This window comes from Homo sapiens, chromosome 13 (genome assembly GCF_000001405.40).
Source record: "Homo sapiens chromosome 13, GRCh38.p14 Primary Assembly".
In the NCBI taxonomy this organism is placed as follows: domain Eukaryota; kingdom Metazoa; phylum Chordata; class Mammalia; order Primates; family Hominidae; genus Homo; species Homo sapiens.
Window position 1 is genome coordinate 41,053,550 of NC_000013.11, and position 7,854 is coordinate 41,061,403.

The 7,854-nt window shown below is 43.8% G+C and overlaps 1 protein-coding gene and 1 non-coding gene across 4 annotated transcripts in view, besides 2 other annotated features; both read right to left on the reverse strand.

The window, feature by feature from the left end:
- Nucleotides 1–7,837, reverse strand: part of ELF1 (E74 like ETS transcription factor 1) — a 129,468-nt gene extending 121,631 nt beyond the window's left edge. For all 3 annotated transcript variants that reach the window (NM_001370330.1, NM_001370329.1, XM_047430118.1), the window contains exon 1: nucleotides 7,289–7,837. The gene's annotated coding sequence lies outside the window, so the exon portion shown is untranslated. The remainder of the gene's footprint in view (nucleotides 1–7,288) is intronic.
- Nucleotides 90–139: an enhancer, noted in NCBI's record as "active region_7624". NCBI's record gives its function as "activates an Ori minimal core promoter by ATAC-STARR-seq in GM12878 lymphoblastoid cells {active_cell/tissue: GM12878}" and the evidence as "EXISTENCE:reporter gene assay evidence [ECO:0000049][PMID:35858748]".
- Nucleotides 6,575–6,754: a silencer, noted in NCBI's record as "silent region_5288". NCBI's record gives its function as "represses an Ori minimal core promoter by ATAC-STARR-seq in GM12878 lymphoblastoid cells {active_cell/tissue: GM12878}" and the evidence as "EXISTENCE:reporter gene assay evidence [ECO:0000049][PMID:35858748]".
- Nucleotides 7,189–7,260, reverse strand: TRE-TTC1-2 (tRNA-Glu (anticodon TTC) 1-2). Its single transcript has one exon. It is a non-coding gene; the product is annotated as a tRNA-Glu (tRNA).
- Nucleotides 7,838–7,854: the final 17 nt, after the last annotated feature.

The window sequence follows — 7,854 nt, forward strand, 5'->3', positions numbered from 1 at the left end:
TGCTTCAACCCACTTCTGCTTTACTGGTGACACAAATTTCAAGCCCTAAATGGCTACCCCACCCCTTCTGACACCTCTGGGAATTCAAGTGTGTAAGATATTTATAACATTATTGGCTGTAAACAGCTCATCTCTTAGGAAAGTTTTATTTGGTCGTGAGTCCAAAACTGAAACATTTCCTGAGTTGCAGTGAGCAAATAAGTATTTCACAATCACCATTTTATTTTGATTCAAGCTAGTTTATGAAACTACCAAACTAGTATAATTTGTGAGCAGAGTGTCCTTCTAAATAAGTAGCGTAATATAAACCAAACTCATTTGTATAAATACAATTAAGGCAATCCATCCAAAACGTAGAGAACTTTTAACAACTACAACCAAATCCACAAAAAAACGAGGCAAGAAGGCCACTTTCACTTAGCCAAAAAAGGGTGTGGGGGGATGTTTGATATATTTCTCAAAAAATATAACTCTCAAGGATAATACCATATGTCTTATAAAATGGGATGAAAAAAATCAGTACAACAAAAGGGATAAATGACCATTTCACAACAGGCCTACATGCCACAATATTTTAAAAAACCAACCCTTCCATATGAAATTTCTAGAGCAAAGAAGTACCATCTAAAAACCACTCTTGAATCATTGCAGCTTTTTAAAACTACTGGTTCCATTTTAGATTCCCTTTATTTAAAAGCCTCAGAAAAAATTCAGAGAAAAAATTAATTTCAAGCTTTCTATTTAATGAGCATCACTGCATGCACCAACGTGGAAGAACCAAAGCCAGTTCTAAAACAGTAAATCGCAAATGAATGAAACTTTAATTCTTGATGGTTTTAGTCCTGATATTTTGTCCACAGGGTGGCAGTCTCACAGTATTAACTTGTTCATGGAGTCAATGCACAATTTCAGAGTTCGAAAGCCACAGACACACGCAGGTATGCAATAAATTTACTAGCTGGCCAACCCTAAGAGTAAAAACTGCCAGTCCGCTGCAATAAAATCTGTGCTTCATAACTTCTCTATTTCTTTTAGAAATATTTACTTTCTGAAGTCGTAGATTTTTTCCTTCAGTGTTATCTGTTGTATCTGATCCTTTCTATTCTGCTGCCACCACCCTATTTAGGGAGAGAGTAGAAGCAAGGAGAGATGTTAGGAGATTATTATTGGACTGCGGGAAGTCCTTGACCTTTGTCAAGGCCTAATGGAGTGGGAACAGGAAAGGGACAGTGGAGATGGGGAGCACAGACATAATCCTTCCATCCACCAGTTCAACCTGCACGTTACTACCAAATTCATTTCATTAAAACATTCCTCGTATTACCAGAAATCTCTTTTCCTAACTAAACTCCTTAGCTCCAAATCCAAGAGGCTTCCAAAATCTCCTTGTCAAGGGGCTTCGTAAAATAAACTTTGCTTTGCTTTAAATAGACCTTGCTTGCCACTTCTTGATTTTCATTCATTCATTCAAATGTTTTCTGAATGTTTACCAGGTGCCAAGCCCTGCTTCAAGTCTGATGATACAGAGGGAAACAAGTCAAAGCCCCTGCTCCAAAGTTACACTCCTGACAGTGGTCTGTGAGCGGGAGGAGGATATGTCCCCAGACACTTCCAGCTCTCTGCAGGTAAGAGGTATCGTTCTTCCTAAGTATGAGCCATTGGAGGCACACTAGGCATCAGGAGGATAGTAAAAACACATTGTCCACTACAGACCCTAATCTATTTTCGCAGCCTTATTTCCCATTCCTATCCTACCTGCACCCTCAGCTCCATTAAAATGTGCTAGTAACTGTTGACATGCCTCTGCTCCTGCTTGCTTCCTCTCAATGCCTTGTCCCCATCCCTGTCTCTACCAGCAAAAGCCTAACCAGCCTTCAAAGCTTATCTCGAATGCTGCCTCCTACAGGAGGCCTTTCCTCATTCCCCTCACACAAACTCAGATATGGATTTTGAACACTATCAAACACTTATGACCCCTGGCTTAGTCCCCTCTGAGCATTTATCAAACTATGTATTGTATCATAATTATCTGTATACTTACCTAACCTCCTCCATCAGTTATTTAATAAGCACTTACCACATTTGTGGAACTAACTAGGAGCTGAAGTTTCCCCATTAAATTATTCCATTATTATTTTAATTTTTATTTTCTAGAGAGAGGGTCTCACCCTGTTGCCCAGGCTGGAGTTCAGTGGTGCGATCATAGCTCACTGCAGCCTCAACCCCCCAGGTTCAAGCAATCCTACCACCTCAGCCTCCTGAGGAGCTGGGACTACAGGAACGCACCACCACACCAGCTAATTTTTGTTTTTTTTTTTCTTTGGTAGAGATGAAGTTTCACCATGTTGCCCAGGCTGCTATTATTTTAAAACAGGTAATATCCAAATGATAAATGTAAAATCAAGAGAGAAAATATTCTATATGCTTTTTATTGCTTCAATCCCTTTTAAGAGTTTAGTCGAGATAAAACTTACATATCATGAAGTTTATCTATTTAAAGTGTACACTTCAACATTATTTAGTGCATTTATAGAGTTATAGAACTATCACTGTAATCTATTTCAGGACTTTCAATCACCCTAAATTTACTATCCACATTGGCAGTCACCTCACCCCAAACCTCCCTATCCCCTCTAATCCAAGGCAACCACTAATTTTCCCTCTTTCTCTATAGATTTGCCTATTTTGGATATTTCATATAAATGGAATAAAAATGTGGTCTTTCATGCCTGACTCCTTAGTGTAATGTTCTTGTGATTGAGTACCTCATCCCTTTTTATTCCCAAATATTCCACTGTGTGGATACACTACATTTTACCTATTCACTCATCAGTTGAGGGACATTCAGGTTGTTTCTACTTTTTGCTTATGAATAATGCTGCTATAAACATTTGTATACAAGGTTTGGTGTGGGCATGTTTTCATTTCTACTGGGTACACACCTAGGAGTGGAAATACTGGATCATATGGTAACTGTTTAACATTTTGAGGAACTGCCAAACTGTTTTCCAAAGCAACTGCACCATTATACATTTCCAGCAGCACTGTATAAGGGTTCCAACTTCTTTACTATTGTTTGAATCTTTACTACATACAGAACAAGAACGATCTCATATGATATCCTTGCCTTCAGGGAACTTATATTGACAGACTAAGACAAGAAATAAACAGAAACAAATAAACAGGTTAATTTCAGATACTAAGAAAATGAAAAAAATGTCATAAAGTAACCAGAAAGTAACCAAGGAAGAGGAAGTCTCAAGCTAAAGTGGTCAGAAAAGATCTGAGAAGGTAATGTTGACCTGAGATGTGCAGAGCTACAGGGGGAATATTCCAGGCAAAGGAAAAAGGCAAGAAACAAAACTCCGAGACAAGGATAAGTTTGGCATGGCAAAAAGGAAGCCTACGTAGCCAAGATACAGTGAAGTGGTAGATAAGGTAGGACCTGAGGTTAGATGGGTAAAGTCCAGATAATGTTGGACCTATGAGACCATGATAAGGTCTTCGGATTTTAGCTGAAATGCAGTAATTGCTTTAAAATCCCTTCTACTTCTTTAAATACCAGCGTTCATCTCTGCAAACATTTACTGAACTTTCACGTCTTTTTTTTTTTTTTTTTTAAGAGATAAGGTCTTAGGGTCTTGCTCTGTCACCTGGAGTGTAGCGGCAACATCACAGCTCACTGCAGCCTTGAACTCCTGGGCTCAATGGATCCTCCCACCTTAGGCTTGCAAGTAGCTAGGACTACAGGCATGTGGCATCACACCTGGCTAATTTTTTTTTAATTTTATTTTTGTAGAGACAGGCTCTTGTTATGTTGTCCAGGCTCTCTCACTTTTTCTCTTTTTTTTCCCCCCACCCCGAGATGGAGTCTCTCTCTGTCTCCAAGGCTGGAGTGCAGTGGCACGATCCTGAGATCCTGGCTTACTGCAATCTCTGCCTCCAGGGCTCAAGTGATCCTCCCACCTTGGCCTCCTGAATAGCTGATACAGGTGCAGCGGGTGCCACCACGCCTGGCTAATTTTTTGTATTTTTGGTAGAGATGGGATTTCGCCATGTTGATCCACCTGCCTCAGCCTCCCAAAGTGCTAGGATTACAAGCATAAGCCACCACACCCTGCCTCTTTCATGTATCTTCTAATTACACCTAACAGTAGCAAATATTAAAGAGGTTATTTGGGTAAATCCACAGCACTCAGTGTCACTAATTTATGGCCCAAGAGACAGCACCTAAAATATGCCTGCCAATGGCACAAGCGTTAAGAATGAATCCTCACAAACTGATTACCTAGCCTTAATCAATTTAAGATATACGTCTTACTGACAGTAGTGAGCAGCTCTGTCTTCGAATACCAAGGTCACTTTCAACAAAGCAAGACAGATTATTCTCACACTTTAAGCCTAGATTTCATTCCTATAAAGTGAATTCTAATTAACTGATTGCTTTTCTCCATTCTATTAATTACAAATTAATATTCAACTCCTAAACATAAAATGTACGGACACAAAATATTCTACATGTTTCTTTATTGTTTGAATCTTTTAAAACAAGAATTTTTCACATGCCACTGCTACCTTTGGGTTTTCCAAGAGACAGAAATGGTTTAAAAATTTTTGTGACATAAAATGTCACTCCTTGATAAAAGAACCTGTTACCTAGTCAAAATTTATCAAGTTAAAATTCCTTTCTACATTCCCAGCTTGATCTCCCATGGCCCTCCCTGCAGGCACTCTGTGCTCCTGCCAAACCGACTACTTGCCAGCCTCATACTTGTTCCCCCTACCTCAGCTTTATGATTCACATTCCCCAACAGGAGAAATCCAATCAGTTCTTCAAGGTCCACTCTCCCCTCTAGGTCTCTTCTCCAGTCCTCTCCCTTGAGCAGAACCGATTCCTCACCTCTGTTACTCCAGTAGCACTTCTACAACTCAGATGTTGCCTTACCATATTCTACGTAATGCACAACTACACGAAAGATAAATCTGTGTTTTATACAGAGATGATGCAACTACTTCCTTTGTGTTCACCCCCAGGTATATAGTACAACTATTTGCAATTACTGAGTGCACAGTTGAAAATAACATCCATTTTAGCACCATTTGGTACAATGTTGTAAACTCATTACAAAATACAAGGTCAAGGCCTGGCGTGGTGGCTCATGCCTGTAATCCTAGCACTTTGGGAGGCCGAGGTGGGTGGATCACCTGAGGTCAGGGGTTCGAGACCAGCCTGGCCAACATGGTGAAACATTGTCTTTACTCAAAATACAAAAATTGGCCACGCGTGGTGGCGGGTGTCTGTAGTCCCAGCTACTTGGGAGGCTGAGGCACGAGAATAGCTTGAATCCGGGAGGCGGAGGTTGCAGTGAGCTGAGATCGCGCCAATGCCCTCCAGCCTGGGTTAACAGAGCGAGACTCCGTCTCAACAAAAAAAAGAAGAAAAAGTCAAAAGTTAAGCCCTCTCTGGGGACAATTAAGGCAGAGTTATCCGAGTTATCTTTCCTTCTTTCCAAATTTTCAACTACTGTAATTCTTTAGTAACTGCTTCTTAATAATGACACACTATTACTTATTTAAATGAAAATTCCACTTTCATTATCTATTCAGGAATCGCTCAACAATTCTTGTAACTCTATTTAAAATTTGTGAGTGATACGTGTTATCAAAAATGTATGGCTCTAAAGCCAGAGAACAGAGAAGGTGAAAAGTCTCATCACACAGCTAATCACAAAGACCAAAATATTATTCCATTCAGTATTCTATCCACTAGCTAACATAAAGAATACAAACATCAGTAACTTCAAAAGCATGTGGTGGTGCTTGGTGTGTAGCAAACACACAAATATTTGAATTAATGAAGACGATTTAAAATACTTAGGCTTTTTCTTTCTTTTTAACAAGGTAAGCCTAATTAATCCTTAATCACGCAGATCACATTAACAAATTTACTGTGCAGTTAAAGCTACAAAATAGTCTGGGAACACACATACTAACAACCAAAACATCTGCTTTCAGTAATGGCACTGACCAGAAACCCATCTACAAGAGTCACTTTTTCCTTCTTCGTTTGTTCCCAGAGGCCCAATAAACATTATAGCCGACCCTATTTTCTAATTTCAGCTTGCATTTAAGATAACGCTTTTGTTTCATTTACAGCTCACATGCTGCTGACACAGCTGTCCCTTCTTTGTAATAAACACAGGGCTTCTATATTTAAAAATACAGTGAAACTTTGTTTTAACGTCCCCTCCCCAGTCTCCAGCCAATTTTCTCTTTCCCAAGCCCCACCTCCACCCCAGGATGTTTTGCCGTTGTTTTAATCAATTTTTTTCTTTAAATCAACCGCGCTCAAAATGTTAGACCCTTTGGAAAGTCGATATACTTATTTAAAGCCATCTCATCAGAGTGGTATTTTTCTCCTCCATAGCTCGTGGTGTGTATTTTTAAAGGGAAAGAAAAAAGATTCTCGTTCCCAAAGGCCTTTTTTCGAGGGTACTTTCCGTGACTGCGACCAGCGCCCCTTAAGTCAAGTTGGGAAGACCTCGCAGGCCGGCCTCGCGCTTGCTCAGGCGCCGCGGGTGGAGACGCGAGCGCACACGCGGCGGAAAGGGGCGCCGGGCGGCTGCGCGGCCGGGAAAGCGCGTCCCCCCGGGAGGGCGCGGAAGGCACACTGTGTTCCGTGGGGCCTCGTAAATACCCTGCGGCCAGAGAACCACTAGAGCTACTGGTCCGGGCGCGGGCTCTGGGGCGCCCAGGGCAGGGGGGTCAGCCCGTCCTGCATAGGAAGAGTCGCAAGAGCGGCTGAAGAGGGTGTGGGCCGGACGGGGGCGCTGGGAGGAGATAACGCAAGGCCGGAGTTAATCATCACCTCCCGGGCGTCTGGAAAACTACGGGCCGGAGGGGCGGGGGAGCAGCCCAGGGGAAAGTGAAACTCCCTCAGGGCCCACCAGCCCCGTGAGCCGGAGGCGGGAGGGAGAAGGATCGGAAGCGCATTCGCTTCTCCAGCAGGCACGGCGTGGCACTCGAGGCTCCAAAAGCCGCAGCCCAGCTCCTGGCGCCACTAACTACAGTAATGCTTATTTTCTACAAACTCACCCAGACGGGGACAAGAAAGGAGCCAGAACACAAGATTTAAAAAGTCAGCCCTCCAAACCGATAGTTGCAAAAAAAAAGAAAAATAAGGAAGCGTTCCCATACCGGGAGTCGAACCCGGGCCACCTGGGTGAAAACCAGGAATCCTAACCGCTAGACCATATGGGAAGTGCTATGAGAAACTGCCGTGACCCACCTGACAAGCATAAGTGCCTCTGCCTCCTTCGCCGCACCTCTCGCCACCGCCGCCTCTGCGCTACTGAAGCTGCTGCTGCCGCCGCCGCCGCCGCCGCCGCCGCCGCCGCTGCTGCTGCCCACACGCTCCCGAGCTAGGGAACAAGCCCCATCCGAGCGCGTGGGCGTCGTAGGGGAGAGGAGGGGCGGGGCCGCTCCGCTGCAACAGCAAAGTTTGAGGCGAAGCCTAGCGACTCGCAGCGCCGGTCCCGCAGTTTCACCTCTTTTTTTTTTAACTCCGCCAGAGGACCCCGACCCACAGGTCCCGGTTGCTCCGCTGGTCAAAGTGCGTGCGGAGTAGTTGGCAAAGTTGAGAGCGGAGACGTCTCTGGGAACAGCTGTTTGCGTTCCGGGCGGAGGCGGCGCGCTGAGCTCCTTGGCCTTGAGCCAGCGAGCCTAGAAGGAGGATGGAGGTTTTGGGCCCCAGGGGAGGACACAGAGACGGCGGGATGGCGCAGGGACTTGAGGCTTGAGATCCCGTCCTTCAGCTCAGGTCCCGTCGCGCTTTTACCCCTTCCCGGTGACCTC